The sequence below is a fragment of the Homo sapiens genome, chromosome 19, assembly GCF_000001405.40.
Source record: "Homo sapiens chromosome 19, GRCh38.p14 Primary Assembly".
In the NCBI taxonomy this organism is placed as follows: Eukaryota; Metazoa; Chordata; class Mammalia; order Primates; family Hominidae; genus Homo; species Homo sapiens.
Genome location: NC_000019.10, coordinates 8100838 through 8120276, shown reverse-complemented (window position 1 = coordinate 8120276; position 19439 = coordinate 8100838). Strand labels below are relative to the sequence as shown.

The window sequence follows — 19439 nt, the reverse complement described above, 5'->3', positions numbered from 1 at the left end:
AATTGCTTGAACCCAGGAGGTGGAGGTTGCAGTGAGCCGAGATCGCGCCACTGCACTCCAGCCTGGGCGACAGAGCGAGATTCTGTCTCCAAATTAAAAAAAAAAAAAAAAGAAAGAAAGAAAGAAAAAGAAAAGAAAAGAAAAAAATGCAAAATTGCCACTGTCAGAAGCCCTTAAAAGGGCCACATGATCTGATGAGAGATGGCTGAGACAGGATTGCTTGAGACCAGGAGTTTAAGACCAGCTTGGTCAACATAGAGAGGCCCCGTCTCTACACAAAATTTAAAAATTAGCCGGGCATGGTGGTGCCTGCCTGTAGTCCCAGCTACTCAGGAGGCTGAAGTGGGAGGATAGTTTGAACACAGGAGGTGGAGGCTGCAGGGAGCTGTGATCGTGTCACTGCACTCCAGGCTGGGTAACAGTGTGAAAATCTGTCTCAAAAAAAAAAAAAAAAAAAAAAAAAGGCTGGGCTCGGTGGCTCATACCTGTAATCCTGGCAATTTGGGAGGCTGAGGCAGGTGAATCACTTGAGGTCAGGATTTTGAGACCAGCCTGGCCAACATGGTGAAACGCTGTCTCTACTAAAAATACAAAAATTAGCTGGGCTTGGTGATGCATGCCTGTAATCCCAGCTACTTGGGAGGCTGAGGCAGGAGAATTGCATGAACCCAGGAGGCGGAGGTTGCAGTGAGCCGAGATCGTGTCACTGCACTCCAGCTTGGGCAACAGAGCGAGACTCCATCTCAAAAACAACAACAACAAAAGGAAAGAAAGAAAGAATGGAGTGGGGGTGAAAAGGGTGAAGACACTGGAGAACAGCATGTGCAAAGGCCCTGGGGTGGGCCTGAGGGATGGAAGGATGATGCCTCTGTGGCTGAAGAGTGATGAGGCCATGGCGAGGCTGCCTGCTCCCTGCCCTGAGTCCTGGCGGGACTGAGCCTCAGCTTTCTGGCGTGTCCTGCAGGGAGTGGAGGAAGGCCTCTTAGTGCCGTTTCTAGTGGCCCCAAGAGTGTCAGCTTCGTGGCCTTTGTTCTTCTGAGAATCTCAGCCTCCCTCCCCATCTGGCTGGTCTCTGCTCCTGGTGCAGACCCCACTCCCCTGGGTCATCCCAACCCGGAGCCTCCAGGCTCTCCTGGCTCCCGCTGGGGTGAAGGGGGCTGGGGAGGTGGCGGAGAGAAGCCAGCATGAGCCTCATCACCCCCTCCCTGCATCAGCACCTTCATGCCTGCTCTCTCTTTCCACACAAACCTTCAGACGTGGACGAGTGTGCAAGGGACCCGCTGCTCTGCCGGGGAGGCACTTGCACCAACACGGATGGGAGCTACAAGTGCCAGTGTCCCCCTGGGCATGAGCTGACGGCCAAGGGCACTGCCTGTGAGGGTAAGTGTGCATCTGGGTGTGCAAGTGTGAGTGTTAGCCCATGTGTGTGAAAGTGAGTGGATGTCTGGTGAATGTGGGCTGGATGAGTGAGAGGGTGGGCATGTGTATCTGTCTTTCTGAGGCCATACCTATGTGTGAGCGTGCAAGTGTGTGTGTGTATCTGTGTGTGTAAGTGGGTTTATATGCAAGATGGCGGGAGTGTGTTTGTGTGTCTAGATGAACACGCACATGTGTGAGTGTCTGTACAAGGGCAAGCGTTTGTGCATTTGTGTGACTGTGTGTCTGTACAAGGGGGAGTGTTTGTATGTGAGGAGTGAGTGTGTGTGTGCGTCTGTGTGAACACACAAGAGGGTTTGAGTGTGTATTTGGCTATGAATGTCTCTACCAAGGGCAAGTGTGTTTGCATGTGCGTAGGTGTGTTTCATTTTGTTTTGTTTGAGACAGGGTCCCAGTCTGTTGTCCAGGCTGGGGTGCAGTGGCACAATCACAGCTCACTGCAGCCTCCACCTCCTGGGCTCAGGTGATCCTCCCATCTCAGCCTCCCAAGTAGGTGGGACTACAGGCATGCGCCACTATGCCTGGCTAATTTCTGAGTGGGTGTGTTTGTACGTAAGTCTGTGTGTGTGTGTGTAAGAGAATGTGATGTGTAGTTGGATGCAAATGCATGTTTATAGAGGTGTGTTTGTGTGTGAGTGGGTGTGAGAATGTGTTTGAGTGGGTCTGTGTGGGTGTACCTCTGGGTGTGGGTGTCTGGGTGTGGACATGTGTTTGCACAAGGACAGGTATGTTTGAGGGTGTGTTTATGTGTGTGTCTGTGTGAGTGTGCACATGGGTGTGTGTGTATGTGTGAGTGTGCATTGGGTGTTTGTGTGTCTGTGTGTGCACATGGGTGTGAGTGTGCCCCTGGGTGTGGATGTGTATTTACACATGGGTGAGTGTATTTGTGTGCAAGTGGATATAAGGTGTGTTGTGAATTTAGGAGTGTGCACTTGAGTGTGAGTGTGTATCTGAGTGTGCCTGTGTGTGTCTGTCAAGGGTGAGTGTGTTCACACGTGAGTGGGTGCCAGGGTGTGTTTGTGAGTCTGTGTGAGCGGGCACGTGGGGTGTGTATATGGGTGTCTGTGCTTATAGGAGAGTGAGTGTATTTGCATGTGAGTGAATGCAAGTGTACGGATAGGCACATGCGGGGCTGTGCCAATGCTGGCAGTGTGAGCTCCTTAGCATGCATGTGTGCCCCCAGTGTGTCTCATGGTCACACAGACGGCAGATGGGGCACAGGCCCGTCTTTCACCTGCACTCCCCCACAGACATCGATGAGTGCTCCCTGAGTGATGGCCTGTGTCCCCATGGCCAGTGTGTCAATGTCATCGGTGCCTTCCAGTGCTCCTGCCATGCCGGCTTCCAGAGCACACCTGACCGCCAGGGCTGCGTGGGTGAGACTGTGCCCACCTGCTGGCCCCTGGGCACCAACCACAGTCCCAGACATAGTGGTAGCTCCTCCTGTCCTCACCTCAACTCCACTCTGCTCCCACCCCCAAACCAGCCCCCTCCCCATCCTGGACCCCTCCCCCCAGCCCCAGCCCCTGTCTGCCCTGCATCCTGCAGACATCAACGAATGCCGGGTCCAGAATGGTGGGTGTGACGTGCACTGTATTAACACTGAGGGCAGCTACCGGTGCAGCTGTGGGCAGGGCTACTCGCTGATGCCCGACGGAAGGGCATGTGCAGGTAGGTGGGCACAACTTCTTCCCACTGCCTGGTGTGGAGGGTGAGGAGGAGGTGTTGGCTGGGTCCTGCACTGGCCCAGAGCCCAGCACAGCATAGTGAAGCCAGCCAGACCCGAGGCACCCCCTGCCTGGCCTGTGGTCCTGGCCCCAGGCAGGCTGCTCACCCTGTGGGAGAGCCCCTGGGATTTTTGCAGAGGAGGGTGAATAAGGTGGAAAAGAACCTCAGAACTGCTTGAGCGCCCCCAGACTACTCGAGTGACCATCGCTATCCTCACCTGGCTACAGGTCGTCCTGGGGCCTGGGGAGCAGATGTGTACTGGGTGGTCTATCAGGGCAAAGCTAAGCACAGTCCCCAACCCTGCTCCCCCAGACGTGGACGAGTGTGAAGAGAACCCCCGCGTTTGTGACCAAGGCCACTGCACCAACATGCCAGGGGGTCACCGCTGCCTGTGCTATGATGGCTTCATGGCCACGCCAGACATGAGGACATGTGTTGGTGAGGAGCCGGGACGGTGGGGCGGGGCGGGTGGAGGAGGCAGTGTCAGAATTCACACACCAGGTCTTCCACAAGGTGGCACATAGGCATGAAAAATGCCAGGCCCCACCCCTGCCATTCGCAGGTAGGAAGATGAGGCTTTGTAACAGCACTTGCTTCTCCACATAAGGGTCCCCAGCACCCCAAGTCTGCTCTCCAAAGCCCATGAGATCCCATTTATATAACAGAAGCAGAATTCCCCAAACCTTGCTCTTTTAAATGGCATTTGTTTAATATGACATACCCAACATCTATCAGAGGATTGTGTCCTGTTCAAGGGCTGTGCTTTAAGATCACTGAAGACAAAGGGGTTTCTGGCAGAGGACAGTGGACAAGGCAGGAAAGAGACTCAGAACTCTGTTCTCTAAGGTGGCGACTGCTGTCCTCACCTGGCTACAGGTTGTCCTAGGGCCTGGGGAGCAGATGTGTACTGCATACCCTATCAGGACAAAGCTGAGGCCAGAGTGTGGAAGTTCCGGGAAGTAACAATGTAACTCCCGGCCAAGAAACCGAGTGAAGCTTAAAGAGCTTAGAGAGTTGCAGTTTATAGGAGTCTCAGAGAGCAAGTGCTTCAGCGATGGGCCTTGTGAACAAATGCATTTAGGGAATGCAGTCTGCTCCATGCCCCTGTTGCAGACCCACTGTGCATATTGGCATAAAGGCTCTGAAAAGTCCTGCAGGAGGAAACCCTGGTTAGCTTTGTGGATCTCAGCCTTCTCTAAATATATTTGACCATAAAATACTTTTGGAAACACATTCCTGGTGTGTTCCTTGGAATGTACACTGTGAAACGCTCACAGAACATTCCCAATTGCCCAGTAGTGGACATAGAGGGAGCTCCCCGCCCCTGGAGAAAAGAAAGAGAGTCCTAGCAGAGAGGACCTGTGCGGCGGGACAGTCAGGAATGCTGGTGATCTCCCTCCCACCCTCACCTACTTCCTCTCCTGTCACCCCTGCACCCAGTCCTCAGACCTCATGCTCTCTTCCCCAACAGATGTGGATGAGTGTGACCTGAACCCTCACATCTGCCTCCATGGGGACTGCGAGAACACGAAGGGTTCCTTTGTCTGCCACTGTCAGCTGGGCTACATGGTCAGGAAGGGGGCCACAGGCTGCTCTGGTGAGCCGGCGGTCAGCGGTGCAGGCAGAGGGGACTCCCCGGGGCCATTTTGGGAATCATGGGGTCTGTTTCCATCCCCCAGGGCAGAGCACAGCCAGAATTCATTCTCATAGATTTCCACGGATGGCTTCTTGTGTTAAAGCAAGAACAGAGTCCTATACAGTGCCCCGGGGGGTCCCCTGAACAGCTCAGGAAGGGAAGCCCCAAGTGTCTGCAGCAGCATTTCTGAAACGTGAATCCCTCATAATTTGATGCAATACAGGGATGAACACTTAAACATTTGAATAGTGACTGTGTTAGTTCCCTGTGGCTGCCATAACAAATGATCACACAATTGGTGGCTTAGAAATTGATTCTCTGGGCCGGGCGCGGTGGCTCATGCCTGTAATCCCAGCACTTTGGGAGGCCGAGGCGGGCAGATCACCTGAGGTCAGGAGTTCGAGACCAGTCTGGTCAACATGGTGAAACCCATCTCTACTAAAAATACAAAAATTAGCCAGGCATAGTAATCCCAGCTACTCGGGAGGCTGGGGCAGGAGAATCATTTGAACCCGGGAGGCAGAGGTGGCAGTGAGCCAAGATAGCACCACTGCATTCTAGCCTGGGCAACAGAGTGAGACCCCGTCTCAAAAGAAAATAAGTAAATTCAGGAGGCTGAGGCAGGAGAATGGCGTGAACCCAGGAGGCGAAGCTTGCAGTGAGCCGAGGTCGAGCCACTGCACTCCAGCCTGGGTGACAGAGCCAGACTCCGTCTCAAAAAAAAAAAGAAAATAAGTAAAATGATTCTCCGCCTGGTGCAGTGGCTCACACTTTTGTAATCCCAGCACTTTGGGAGGCCAAAGCAGGAGGACTGCTTGAGCCCATGGGTTCGAGACCAGCCTGGGTGACATGGATACATCACAACACGGCCATATGGCAACATTAATAGAGACAGCAACCCCATCTATATTAAAAATTTTAAAAATTAGCCTGGGCAGGGTAGCTCACACCTGTAATCCCAGCACTTTGGGGGCTGAGGTGGGTGGATTACCTGAGGTCAGGAGTTTGAGACCAGCCTGGCCAACATGGTGAAACCCCGTCACTACTAAAAATACAAAATTAGCTGGGCGTGGTGGCGCACGCCTGTAATCCCAGCTGCTTGGGAGGCTGAGGCAGGAGCATCACTTGAATCCAGGAGGCGGAGGTTGCAGTGAGCCAAGATCACACCACTGCACTCCAGCTTGGGCCACAGAGCAAGACTCCATCTCAAAAAAACAAACTTTTTTTTAATTAAAAAGAAATTGATTCTCCTTCTAGAATAATAGTTCTGGAAGCCAGAAGTCTGAAATCAAGGTGTCTACAGGGTTAGTACCTTCTTGGGGGCTCAGAGGCAGAAAGTGTTCCATGCCTCCTTGCTGTTCCTCAGCTTGTAGATGTGTCATTCCAGTCTCTGTCTCCATCTTCACACGGCCTTCTTCTCTCTGTGTATCTATTTTTTTTTATTTTTCATGTTTTACATTTTATTTATTATTTATTTATTTTTGTGAGATAGTGTCTCACTCTGTCTCCCAGGCTGGAGTGCAGTGACACAATCATAGCTCACTGCAGCCTCCACCTCTCCAGGCTCAGGTGATCTTCCCACCTCAGCCTCCCACACGTGCCGCCACACTCAGCTAATTTTTTTTTTTTTTTTTGTAGAGATAGTGTTTTACTATGTCGCCCGGGTTGGTCTTGAACTCCTGGACTCAAGTAATCCTCTTGCCTCGGCCTCCCAATTTGTTGGGATTACAGGCACGAGTCACTGCACCCAGTAGTATCTAATTTGTAAAGATGAGGTCTCGCTGTGTCGCCCAGGCTATAGTGCAGTGGTGTGATCATAGCTCATGAACTAGTTCATAGCCTTAAACTCCTGGGTTCAAGCAATCCTCCCAGCCTCAGCCTCCTGAGTATCTGGGACTACAGGTGCATGCCACCAAGCTGGGCTAATTTTTAAAAAAGTGTTTGTTGATCAGGCATGGTGACTCATTTCTGTAATGCCAGCACTTTGGGAGATTGAGGTGGAAGGATTCTTGAGCTCAGGTGTTTGAGATAAAAATTTTAAAAAATAGCCAGGCATGCTGGCGCTCACCTGTAGTCTTAGCTACTCAAGAGGCTGAGGATTGCTTAAGACCAGGAGATCCAGGCTGCAGTGAGCTATGATTGCACCATTGCACTGCACTCCAGCCTGGGTGACAGAGTGAAACCATGCCTCAGGGGGAAAAAAAAGTGTTTTTGTAGAAACAGGTTCTCACTATGTTGCCCAACCTCGTCTCAAACTCCTTGCCTCAAGCGATCCTCCCACCTTGGCCTCCCAAGTAGTTGGGATTACAGGTGTAAGCCATTGCATCTGGCTACACAGCCTTCTCAAAAGAACACTCATCACTGGATGGGAGCCTACACTAATCCGGGATGACCTCATCTTAACTTAGTTACATCTACGAAGACCCTGTTTCCAAATAAGGTCACATTCACCAGTTTCAGGGTTTAGGACTTGAGCATACCTTTTAAGGGGACACAATTCTATCCACTCCAGTTACATGGTTATTTTAATGTGTATTAGAAACAAGTGTTACATAACAGAGCATCAAGCCTATGACTTCTTAGAGGTTGTTGATGTTGATCCAAAATTGTCTTTTAAAACACAATTTATGTCAGGGAAAACAGAAGTGTGGGAAAGAAATGTTTAGTAACAGCAGCTCACCAAGGTTTAACATGGCAGAGATCATAAGGGTGAGGCATAATTGACTCTGGATTGGAAATGCTGGTGGACAGGGAAATCCTGGCTTGGAAAAGGGGCGTGTTCATACGGACAGTCACTTTTTTATTTTTTTATTTATTTATTTTTTTGAGACGGAGTCTCACTCTGTCGCCCAGGCTAGAGTGCAGTGGCACAACCTCTGCTCACTGCAAGCTCCGCCTCTCGGGTTCACGCCATTCTCCTGCCTCAGCGTCCTGAGTAGCTGGGACTACAGGCACCTGCCACCACGCCTGGCTAATTTTTTTTTTGTATTTTTAGTAGAGACAGGGTTTCACCGCATTAGCCAGGATGGTCTCGATCTCCTGACCTCGTGATCCACCCGCCTCGGCCTCCCAAAGTGCTGGGATTACAGGCGTGAGCCACCGCACCCGGCTGGACAGTCACTCTTAATATCTACCCCAAGTCTTTCATGCTGCTATTTCAGGCCATTTCTGAGGGCTGCTGAGAGTCATGTCTGTTGGGTTTCGGGGTTTTCCTCTTGGGCTCTGGGTAAAGATGGAAGCTCCCCAGGTGAATGGGAGGAGGCTTTCTGGGCCAGCTCTCCCCTAGAGAGGAAGAGTCCCTGCCCTTTCCGCTGCTATTGCATCGAGTCTTTCCTTCTGTGACTGGGTCTTGGCGTCGTGCCTCCTCTCCCTTTAGATGTGGATGAATGCGAGGTTGGAGGACACAACTGTGACAGTCACGCCTCCTGTCTCAACATCCCGGGGAGTTTCAGCTGTAGGTGCCTGCCAGGCTGGGTGGGGGATGGCTTCGAATGTCACGGTGAGTACCTGGGGGCAGGGAGTGGGGGCAAAGCAGTAGAGGTAGGTGGGGGGCAAGGCGGTGGGGGGCAAGGCAGTGGGAGGGTGGGATCCGGGAGTGTCTGCAGGGGGGCAGTCAGGGTTGGAGGGTTGATGGGTCTTTCTCCCTTCTGCGCCCACCCAATGCACACACCATGGGGTGGGGGGTCTGGGCTCCATCTCCTGCAGACCTGGATGAATGCGTCTCCCAGGAGCACCGGTGCAGCCCAAGAGGTGACTGTCTCAATGTCCCTGGCTCCTACCGCTGCACCTGCCGCCAGGGCTTTGCCGGGGATGGCTTCTTCTGCGAAGGTGAGATTAGAGGGGTGGGAGGGCAGGGGCCCTAGAGGGACAGCCACGGGGGCTGAATTCACGGTGGCTGCCATGGTCACTCGACCTCCTGACTCCTTCTGACTCAATCGCCGCTCTGTGGGTGCTGGAGAGGCTGTGTCCTCGGCCCAGGCGGTGCTGCGGCCTGCCCACGGCTCCCTTGAACACTTAAGTGCATGAGACGCTTCCTTCCTGGCTGCCCTCCTCCCTGGATCCAGAGAGACTGGGTCCCCTCTCTGGAGTCCAAGAGTCCAGACCACCTCTCCCCTCCCTGTCCCTGCCTCGGTCACTCGCCTCCCACCCCCAAGTCAGGGACTGAGTCCCCAGGGCTACTTGCCTGGGACTCTGGCTGACAGCGAAGTGTTCCAGTGACTGGGGCCTCCTGCCCACCCTGTGTGGGTCCTGGTCCACCGGCCTCCAGCCCTCCGAATCTTGGGGCCCCTCAGACAGGGATGAATGTGCCGAGAACGTGGACCTCTGTGACAACGGGCAGTGCCTCAATGCGCCCGGCGGGTACCGCTGTGAATGTGAGATGGGCTTTGACCCCACCGAGGACCACCGGGCCTGCCAGGGTAAGGTTGGGCCCGCCAGGGCAGAGGACAGAGTGGGTAGGTCCCCCCTGCAGACTCTGGGTGGGGCAGGCTGACCCAGGGTCCCCGCAGATGTGGACGAGTGTGCGCAAGGGAACCTCTGTGCATTTGGGAGCTGTGAGAACCTGCCTGGAATGTTCCGCTGCATCTGCAATGGTGGCTACGAACTGGACCGAGGGGGTGGCAACTGCACAGGTGTGAGGTCATCTGGGCTGGAAGGGGAGAGGAGAGAGCAGGAGTTGGGGCAGGGGACATGGCTCACTCCCTCACTGCCCTCAGATCTCTTTTCAAGCATCCTCCCCTGCAGTCTTGCTGGGGGGTGGGGGGCGCCTTGCCTGATGTCCCCATCATTTCCCGTTCCTGTTCGCCTGCTAAATAAGTTCTGTGATTGAAGTGGCCCCTCCACGCTAGCTGCTGAAAGGGTCTCCTACCTCTGTGTGTTTTAGAAATGGGCAGGTGGTAAATATTTTTGGCTTTGCAGGCCACACAGTCAGTCTCTGTCACAATGATTCAACTCTGCCATTGTAGCTCAAAAGCAGCCACAAGCAATATGTAAATGAATGAATGTGGCCCCTGTACCAATAAAACTTTATTGACACAAACAGGTGGTGGACCGGATTTGACCTACAGGTTGGAATTTGCTAACCCATGGTTTGAAAGTATTTTCTATATATGGGTTTTGGCTGGGAGTGGTGGCTCATGCCCATAATCTCAGCACTTTGGGAGGCTGAGGTGGGAGGATCACTCCAGGCCAGGAGTTGGAGACCAGCCTGAGCAACATAGCGAGACCTCATCTCTAAAAAGTAAAAATAAAAAATTAGCTGGGCATTGTGGTGCACACCTGTAGTCCCAGCTACTCCAAAGGCTGAGGCAGAAGGATCGCTTGAGCCCAGGAGTTTGAGGCTGCAGTGAGCCGTGATTGTGCAACTGCACTCCAGCCTGGTCGACACAGCAAGACCCTGTCTCTAAACATCAATAAATTACGGAAATAAAATAGATATGATTTTCATATGTTGACTGCATGGAACCCAGGGCAGGTAGAGTTCAATGAACAAAACTCTGCCAGGCAGAACAGAGCAGGAGAGGGAATGGGGTTGGAGGGGACAGGACAGACTGGAGGCTCCTGTCCCCTTAGGTTTCTTCCCAGGGAAGGACATGACATTGTCCCACAATCTGGTGCCCAGGAGTTGACCTTGAGCGAGGGCTGTAGCTTCCCAGGATGAAGCTAGGAGGGAGGGGGGCCGAGGAAGGGGCTCCCTGCTGAGGACCGCGCTTCCTCCCTACAGACATCAACGAGTGTGCAGACCCAGTAAACTGCATCAACGGCGTGTGCATTAACACCCCCGGCAGCTACCTCTGCAGCTGCCCCCAGGATTTTGAGCTGAACCCCAGCGGAGTGGGCTGCGTGGGTGAGTCCATGCTCAACTCCAGATCAGGGTTCTGGGGTCAGCAGAGGTGGGTGGGATTGCCCCACTGGGTTAACTCAGATGTCAACGTGTTCAAATCTACCTGCTCCTGACAAACGGGACATCTGCTGGTCTCCTGCAAGAGTGGTTGTCCTTGTCACCTGTTGAAATAGACACATGCATGCACACGCACACATACAGCTTTCCCTCTGACACCTACTAACCATCCCCTTCTGCCTGTTCAGACACTCGGGCCGGGAACTGTTTCCTGGAGACGCATGACCGAGGGGACAGTGGCATTTCCTGCAGTGCCGAGATCGGAGTTGGTGTCACCCGAGCTTCCTGCTGTTGCTCCCTGGGCCGGGCTTGGGGCAATCCCTGTGAGCTGTGCCCTATGGCCAACACCAGTGAGTCCCTGCGGGGCAGTTGAACACCGTGACCTAAGCCACCGAGGCCCGGGAGCTTAGGGGGTCACCTCTGCTAATGGCGGTGGTGGGGGGCTTAGGCGACAGGAAAACCAAGAACTGGGGGAGGAGAGGGGCTCATCCTGGGTCACACAGTGTACGTCTTGGTAGTTCATTGGCTGGGCCTCTCTCCAAGGTCGCTTTCTGTAAATTCTCTGTGTTTATAGTCACTTGATCACTCAGTCAGTCAACAAATATTGAGAGTTCCTCTGTGTCATGTGCTGGGGACTGGGGACTCAGAGAAGGATGAGCCACAGCCTCTGCACGCTGCTTCTCCCTCACCCTTAAATCAACAGTTTCAGGACTGTGAGAGTAGAACTGTCCTAAGGGTTTTCTTTGAGGCATACCCATAGCTCAGGAGAAAGCTGTGGGGAAGTGAAAGCTCTGGGGAAGGCTTTCCAGGGGAGGAGGCTTGAGTGAGGTTTTGAAGGATGTGTAGGAGTTTTCCTAGCAGAGTAGGGGGAATGATGTGCAATGCAGTGAGAACAGTATGTGCAAAGGCCTCAGGTGTGAAACAGGGAGGTACCTGTCCACCTATTCAGGTGTATGCGTGTGTGAATGTCCAAGGTCTTCCTTGCATGGGGAAAACTTGCAGTTACACTAGGATATGGTTTTGGATCAGAAGGAATAATCTTCTCTCCCTCCTACCCCCAGCCACTACCACATAACTCTGCTCACATGTTGAATGGGAACCCACATTTACACACACACACGCATGCACACGCACATGCACACACACACGCAAGCAGCCCCAGGACTGGCCAAAGTCTCTTGGCCCCAAGAGGCTAAAGAGATATGGGGATGTCGTTAGTACAGTAGAAGGATGGGAGCCCACTCTTGAGCCCTTTTCAGGCTTCCTGCTGTTGCTCCCCTGTTTCCCCTAAGCTTTGCCCCAATACCCCACCTCACAGGAGCCTGTTTCCCTTTACAGCTGAGTACAGAACCCTGTGCCCGGGTGGTGAGGGCTTCCAGCCTAACCGCATCACTGTCATTCTGGAAGGTGAGTTCCTGGCAGATCATCCATCCATCTGTCTGCCTAGAGACTGACTTTTCTCTCATCCCCACCTCACCAAAGTGTAGAGTTGAGTAGTTTTGTCCTGGGATGGGGCAGATCTTTCCACCTGGAGGCTGAGCAGCAGGACCACACTATGCTTTTAGTTTGTGTTTAATTTTTTTTATCTGTTCTTTCAGCCATTTCTTCCACTTGTTGGTTTATTGATCTTTTCATTTGTCCCCCATCCTTCCATTCATCCTCCATCCTTCTGTCCATTTATCCTTCCATCCACCCATCCTTCCATCCATTCATCCATCCTTCTACCCATCCATCCAGCCATTCATCCATCTATCCATCCATCCATCCATCCTTCCATTTTTTCCATCCATCCAGTACATCCATACATCCTTCCATCCAGCCATCCTCCATCCATTCTTCCTTCCATACTTCCATACTTCCATTCAACCATCCTCCATCTACCCATTCATCCATCCTCCACTCATCCCTCTCTTATCCTTTTATCCATCCATCTAGTCAACCATTCATTCCCCATCCTTCATCTATCCCCCATCTTTCTGTCCATTCATCCCTCCATCCATCCATCCATCCATCCATCCTTCCACCCGACCATCCATCCATTCATCCATCCTTCCACTCATCCTTCCATCCATTCATCCATCCATCCATCCATCCATCCATCCTTCCACTCGACCATCCATCCATTCATCTATCCTTCCACTCATCCTTTCATCCATTCATCCTTCCACCCATCCAACCATTCTCCATCTACCCATTCATCCATCCCCCCACTTATTCCCCTCCTATCCTTCTATCCATCCATTCACCCATTTATCCCCCATCCTTCATCTATCCTCCATCCTTTCATCCATCCCCCCTCCTTCTGTCCATTTATCCTTCCATCCACCCATCCTTCCATCCATCCATCCTTCCACCCAACCATCCCCCATCTACCCATTCATCTATCCTTCCTTCCATCCAACTATCCTTTATCTACCCATTCATCCATCCTTCCATTCATCCATCCTTCCATCCATCCCTCCATCCTTCCATCCAACCATGCCCCATCCACCCATTCATCCATTCATCACTCATCCCTCTGCTATCCTTGTATCCATCCATTCACCCATCCATCCACCCCCCATCCTTCATCTAGCCCGCATTCACCCATCCATTAACCTATTTCCCACTCTCCCATCCATCCATCTCCCACCCACCTATCTCTCATTCTTCTATCCATCTATTCACCCATCCATCTATCCCCCATTCACCCATCCATCCTCAATACATCCATCCATCCACTCATCCATCCACCCATTTCCCATCCACCCGTTCCCTACTCCCTTTCTATTCCCCCATTCATCCACCCTTCCATCCATCTTCTATCTCCCATCTATTCATCCATTCATCCATCCATCCATCCATCCACTTATCCACCCATTCACTCATTTGCCTGTCTACTCACCTATCCATCCACCTTCCTATCCATCCACTCACTCATCATCTTATTCATTGACCCACTTGCTTATTTACCCATCCACTGTTTCATATCCATGCATCCATCCACTCATCCATCCATTCATCCATCCTCCCATCCATCCTTTCTATAGGGAGTGACAAGGTTGGAGAAGACTATTCTCCATCTAGAGGAAGAAAACTATCTATTTCTCTATCTAGAGGAAACTATGTGGTGGATGGGAGAATGGACTAACAGATGAAGGGAATGGAGTTGAATTTAGGGTAACATTAACTCAAGAGAATCTGTGTCCAGCCATCAAGATAGACCCTTTAAATGTCTATCAGTCATGGACAGCACTTGGGGATCCTCGAGAGGGCCCTGGAGAACCCAGAGCATGGTGTGGGTGCCCCTTAAGTCCTCTGCATGGGTTTAGCTCCCAAGCTTGGCTTCCTTACTTCCTGACAGACATCGACGAGTGCCAAGAGCTGCCAGGGCTGTGTCAGGGGGGTGACTGCGTCAACACGTTTGGCAGTTTCCAGTGTGAGTGCCCACCTGGCTACCACCTCAGTGAGCACACCCGCATCTGTGAGGGTGAGCATGGATTCTCTTTGGGGTGGGTCAGGCTCTTCCGCTCTCTCCCTGCCTTCCTGCCCTGCCAAGCCTCACAAGGGTAGAGGAGGGAAGGCCTCATGGAAAGGCTTCTGCCCCCTGCCTCCTCTTTTGTCATGATCTGTCAGTTCTCTCTTGCTGCCTTTAAGATGTTCATGGCTGCTGTGGATCTGTGGTGTGGGGGATGGTAGATAGACCCTTTAAAATGCCACGACACTCCCTTATGAAGTACAGCAGCTTCCTTCTTCACCATATCTTTGTCTGGATGTTGTAAGCTTTTGACTGATTCCAGAGTTCTGCAAAAGTTTATTTTTGTCTGTTTTGCCAGCTCAATAGTTGCTTTTGTGGAGGAATGGAGCCCTGGAGTTCCCTGCTCTGCTATTTTTGGTGACATCACTCTTACCATGCTAATATTCCACTACCTATTTTTGCCTGCTAGCTAAGAATACTTTATTACACTTTTCTCAACGGTTGAAAAAACCAAAAGAAGAATAACATTTTGTGACACATGAAAATTATATGAAATTCAAGGCTGGGTGCGTGGCAGCTCAAGCTGGTAATCCCAGTACTTTGGGAGGCTGAAGTGGGAGGATTGCTTGAGGCCAGGAGTTTAAGACCCACCTGGGCAACATGGCAAAACCTTGTCTCTACAAAAAATTAAAAAAATAGCTGGGCATGGTGACTCACGCCTGTAATCCCAGCTACTTGGGAGGCTGAGGCAGGAGGATCACTTGAGCCTCGGAAGTCGAGGCTGCAGTGAGCCGTGATTGTGCCACTGTACTCCAGCCTGGGTGACAGAACGAGACCCTGTCTTAAAAAAAAAAAAAAGAAAAAAAAGACTGGGCACAGTGGCTCATGCTTGTAATCCCAGCTCTTTGGGAGGCCGAGGTGGGCAGATCACGAGGTCAGGAGTTCGAGACCAGCCTGGCCAACATAGTGAAACCCCATCTCTACTAAAAATACAAAAATTAGCCGGGCATAGTGACACATGCCTATAGTCCCAGCTACTCGGGAGGCTGAGGCAGGAGAATCACTTGAACCTGGGAGGCGGAGGTTGCAGTGAGCCAAGATGAGGCCACTGCACTCTAGCCTGGGCAACAGAGTGAGACTCTGTCTCAAAAAAAATAAAAGAAAGAAAGAGAGAGAAAGAGAGAGAAAGAAAGAGAAGAAAGAAAGAAAGAGAAGAAGGAAGAAAGAAGAAAAGAAAAGAAAGTTATATAAAATTCAAATTTCAGGGGTCCATAAATAAAATTTCCTTGGAGCACAGCCAGTGCCACAGTGTGTTTGCATATTGTTTGTGTCTGCTTTCTTGCTACATTGGCAGATTGAATAATCATGGCACACTGTAGTTTGGCCCGCAAAACCAAAATGTTCTGGCCCTTTACAGAAAAAGCTTACTACCCCTGGACTAGAGTAATGACCAGATTGAGAATCAATTTTTTTCCCCCAAGAATACTTTATCCATAAGGTCCTTGATTCCTATCATATCATATTAGGAAGACATGGATGATCCTTTCTTGGTGATTATAAAACTGACTCATGAACTCAGGTCATTTTGTTCCTAATAGAAGCAGTATCATCATCAACTTTATTTTTAGGAATTTTTTTTTTTTTTTTTAGAGCCAGTGTCTCACTCTGTTGTCCAGGCTGGAGTGCAGTGGTGTAATCACAGCTTGCTGTAGTCTTGACCTCCTGGACTCAGGTGATCCTCCCACCTCTGCCTCTCAAGTAGCTGGGACCACAGGCGTGTGCCACCATGCCCAGCTAAATTTTCATTTTTTGTAGAGATGGGACCTCACTATGTTGCCCAGGCTGGTCTCAAACTCTTGACCTCAAATGATCCTCCTGCCTTGGCCTCCCAAAGCAGGGATGATAGGCATGAGCCACTGCATCCAGCTTGTAAATGTTTTTTTTTTTTTTTTTTCACTTAATGTCATATTGTTTTTGTTCGTTTGTTTGTTTTTTAGAGCCAGGATCTCATTCTGCACCCAGGCTGGAGTGCAGAGGCGTGATCACGGCTCACTGCAACCTTAACCTCCTGGACTCAAGTGATCCTCCCAAGTGGCTGGGACTGCAGGCATGCACCACCATGCCCAGCTAATTTTTTAAAATTTTTAGTAGAGATGGGGTCTTGCTATGTTGCCCAGACTGGTCTCGAACTCCGGGCTCAAATGATCCTCCCACCTCAGCATCACAAAGTGCTCAGATTACAGGCATGAGCCACCATGCCCAGCCCATATTATAGCTTTCTTCATCACTAAGATGTGTGTGCGTTTTAAACTGATTTTGAAACCAAACTTAGGTCCCTGGTGAAGTGGCCTTGCTGGGTCTCTGGAGTGGAGTTATTCAGACAATTCCTGGACGCTGCCCACTGTTCCCCTCCACCCCTTCTTTCCCTGCAGATATTGACGAATGCTCCACACACTCCGGCATCTGTGGCCCTGGCACCTGCTACAACACCCTGGGGAACTACACCTGTGTCTGCCCTGCAGAGTACCTCCAAGTCAATGGTGGCAACAACTGCATGGGTAAGAAGCGTGATGACCTAGGGAACTGGCAGTCACAGAAGCAGCACCTGGGCATGGGAGGAACTGCTGGGAGCCTTCAAGCCTATGGAGAGGGAGGGTAAGCATATATGAAGTGCTGACATGTGGCAGTAAACAAAGCTGCAGGACTCAGGAGCCCAGAGCTGCCATGAACAGTTGCTCAGGTTGTGCACTGCTCAAAAAAGGCTGAAAAAAGTGAATGGATCCCCCAAGTGTGTTGGGGGAGAGACATCAAGCCAATCAAGCCAGCCAGTAATCTTTTTTTTTTTTTTTTTTTGAGATAGAGTCTCACTCTGTCACCCAGGCTGGAGTGCAGTGGCACAATCTCGGCTCACTGCAACCTCCACCTCCCAGGTTCAAGCGATTCTCCTGCCTCAGCCTCCCAAGTAGCTGGGATTACAGGCGTGTGCCACCACACCTAGCTAATTTTTGTATTTTTAGTAGAGACAGGGTTTCACCATGTTGGCCAGGCTGGTCTCAAACTCCTGACCTCAAGTGATCCGCCCGCCTCCGCCTCCCAAAGTGCTGGGATTACAGGCATGAGCCACTGTGCCTGGACAAGCCAGTAATCTTCAAATGAATCAGTTAAGGAGTTCCTATCTCTTTGGCTCCCTCTTCCACTGATTTAGGTGACCCTTACCCACATTCTTCTCCTTTGTGCCAACTACAGATATGAGGAAGAGTGTCTGCTTCCGGCACTATAACGGCACATGTCAAAATGAGCTGGCCTTCAACGTGACCCGGAAAATGTGTTGCTGCTCCTACAACATTGGCCAGGCCTGGAATAGACCCTGTGAGGCCTGCCCCACTCCCATCAGTCGTGAGTAACCCTCCCCAACCTTCTTCCCAGCCTGGCCCCTCCTAGCATAATGGTTAAGGAAACACAGTGCCCTTAGGGTTCTTAGATTAATCCTCCTTGTTCTGATGAGAGCCAGAGAGTTGAAGTTTTGTCCCTCTATTAGTCCATTCTCATACTGCTGTGAAGAAATACTGGATACTGGGTAATTTATAAAGAAAAAGAGGTTTGGCTGGGTGTGGTGGCTCACACCTATAATCCCAGCATTTTGGGAGGCCGAGGCGGGTGGATCACTTGAGGTCAGGCATTCGAAAACAGCCTGGCCAACACAGTGAAACCCTGTCTCTACTAAAAATACCAAAAAAATTAGCTGGGTGTGGTGGCGCAGGCCCGTAATCCCAGCTACTTGGGAGGCTGAGGCAAGAGAATCGCTTGAACCCGGGAAGTGGGGTTTCCAGTGAGCCGCGATCATGCCACTGCGCTCCAGCCTGGGTGACAGAGCAAGACTCCATCTCAAAAAAAAAATAAAAAAATAAAAAAAAAGGAGGACTTTAATGGACTCGCAGTTCCACATAACTGGGAAGGCCTCACAATCATGGCAGAAGGTGAAGGAGGAGCAAAAGCACGTCTTACATGGTGGCAGGCAAGAGAGCGCGTGCAGGGGAACTGCCCTTTATAAAACTGTCAGATCTCACGAGATTTATTCACTATCACGAGAATAGCATGGGAAAGACCCACCCCCATGACTCAGTTACCTCCCACCGGGTCCCTCCCGTGACATGTGGGGATATGGGAGCTACAGTTCAAGTTGAGGTTTAGGTGGGGACACAGCCAAACTGTGTCAGTCCCCATGTATGGAAGGCAATATTTTAAAGTGAGCAAGGCAGCTTTTCTTCCATTTTGCAGATTTCGAGAATTCAGGATGGATCAATGGAGTTTTCATTGGTGGGAAAGGCCCTTGAAGATTCACAGGAGTAGCTGGGGCTGGGATAAAGTGGGAGGGGGTCGGTAAATGTCCCAGGCCAGGGAGGAAAGCACCGCTGGTTAGAGATACCATAGACCTCCTGGGCTGGGATAGGGTGGGAGGGGGTCGGTAAATGTCCCAGGCCAGGGAGGAAAGCACAGCTGGTTAGAGATACCATAGACCTCCTGGGCTGGGGAAGGGGCAGACCTGGAGAAGCTCAGAGCCAAGATTGGGACCCTGATGGGAACATCGGTCAGGATGAGGGAAGGCGTTCTAGGCAGGGGCACAGCAGGAGCCAAGGCCTGGAGGCAGGACTGAACAGAGTGTGTTGACAGCAGGAATGAGTCCTGTTGGAATGATCTAGCAGCCAGCCCAGGCACCAGGAGGAGCTGCAGGAATGGGACAGTGATGGGAAGGGGACTTCTAGGGGCTTATAGCTGTATTCATTCCCCAGAGCTGCTGCAAAACATTACTGCAAACTAGGTGGCTTTAAAAACCAGACGTCGTGGCTCACGCCTGTAATCCCAGCTACTTGGGAGGCTAAGGTGGGAGGGTCACCTGAACCTGGGAGGTTAAGGCTGCAGTGAGCCGTGATTGCACCAGTGCACTCCAGCCTGGGTGACAGAACGAGACTTTGTCTCAAAAAAATTAAATTAAATAAGTGGAAGGAGGGAAAGGGTGGGGAGAGCAAAAAAAGTTCAAGGTGGCCAGGTGAGGGCTGGGCTCCAGGGATGAGGTGTCCCCTCCAGATTGGGAGCGGGCTGGGGTCAGGCCTGCAGCCCCAGACTCAGCTTTGTTCCCCTTTGCGCAGCTGACTACCAGATCCTGTGTGGAAATCAGGCCCCGGGATTCCTCACTGACATCCACACGGGGAAGCCCCTTGGTGAGTGAGTGGTCCCTGCTCTATCCCTGGGCACCCATCCACCTGGGTCTGCTTCCTCCCACC

At 51.5% G+C, this 19439-nt stretch overlaps 1 protein-coding gene across 10 annotated transcripts in view, besides 3 other annotated features; it reads left to right on the top strand.

The window, feature by feature from the left end:
* Positions 1-19439, top strand: part of FBN3 (fibrillin 3) — an 84191-nt gene that overhangs the window by 29316 nt on the left and 35436 nt on the right. For 8 of the 10 annotated variants that reach the window (NM_032447.5, XM_017027372.2, XM_017027374.3 and 5 more), the window contains 16 exons: positions 1255-1380; positions 2688-2813; positions 2986-3108; positions 3478-3603; positions 4637-4762; positions 8178-8300; positions 8507-8629; positions 9094-9219; positions 9310-9432; positions 10524-10646; positions 10889-11050; positions 12039-12107; positions 14044-14169; positions 16590-16715; positions 17404-17553; positions 19305-19376. In NM_032447.5, the coding sequence (NP_115823.3) occupies positions 1255-1380; positions 2688-2813; positions 2986-3108; positions 3478-3603; positions 4637-4762; positions 8178-8300; positions 8507-8629; positions 9094-9219; positions 9310-9432; positions 10524-10646; positions 10889-11050; positions 12039-12107; positions 14044-14169; positions 16590-16715; positions 17404-17553; positions 19305-19376 (1950 nt within the window). Of the gene's footprint in view, positions 1-1254; positions 1381-2687; positions 2814-2985; positions 3109-3199; positions 3393-3477; positions 3604-4636; positions 4763-8177; positions 8301-8506; positions 8630-9093; positions 9220-9309; positions 9433-10523; positions 10647-10888; positions 11051-12038; positions 12108-14043; positions 14170-16589; positions 16716-17403; positions 17554-19304; positions 19377-19439 lie in introns of those variants that run through there. The other 2 variants (XM_017027375.3, XM_017027378.3) reach the window with 2 other exon arrangements.
* Positions 600-1417: an enhancer, noted in NCBI's record as "H3K4me1 hESC enhancer chr19:8183744-8184561 (GRCh37/hg19 assembly coordinates)". NCBI's record gives its function as "activates a minimal SCP1, AML or CMV promoter by ChIP-STARR-seq in naive and primed H9 embryonic stem cells {active_cell/tissue: H9 hESC(naive and primed)}" and the evidence as "EXISTENCE:reporter gene assay evidence [ECO:0000049][PMID:30033119]".
* Positions 4244-4744: an enhancer, noted in NCBI's record as "H3K4me1 hESC enhancer chr19:8180417-8180917 (GRCh37/hg19 assembly coordinates)". NCBI's record gives its function as "activates a minimal SCP1, AML or CMV promoter by ChIP-STARR-seq in naive H9 embryonic stem cells {active_cell/tissue: H9 hESC(naive)}" and the evidence as "EXISTENCE:reporter gene assay evidence [ECO:0000049][PMID:30033119]".
* Positions 8859-9359: an enhancer, noted in NCBI's record as "H3K4me1 hESC enhancer chr19:8175802-8176302 (GRCh37/hg19 assembly coordinates)". NCBI's record gives its function as "activates a minimal SCP1, AML or CMV promoter by ChIP-STARR-seq in primed H9 embryonic stem cells {active_cell/tissue: H9 hESC(primed)}" and the evidence as "EXISTENCE:reporter gene assay evidence [ECO:0000049][PMID:30033119]".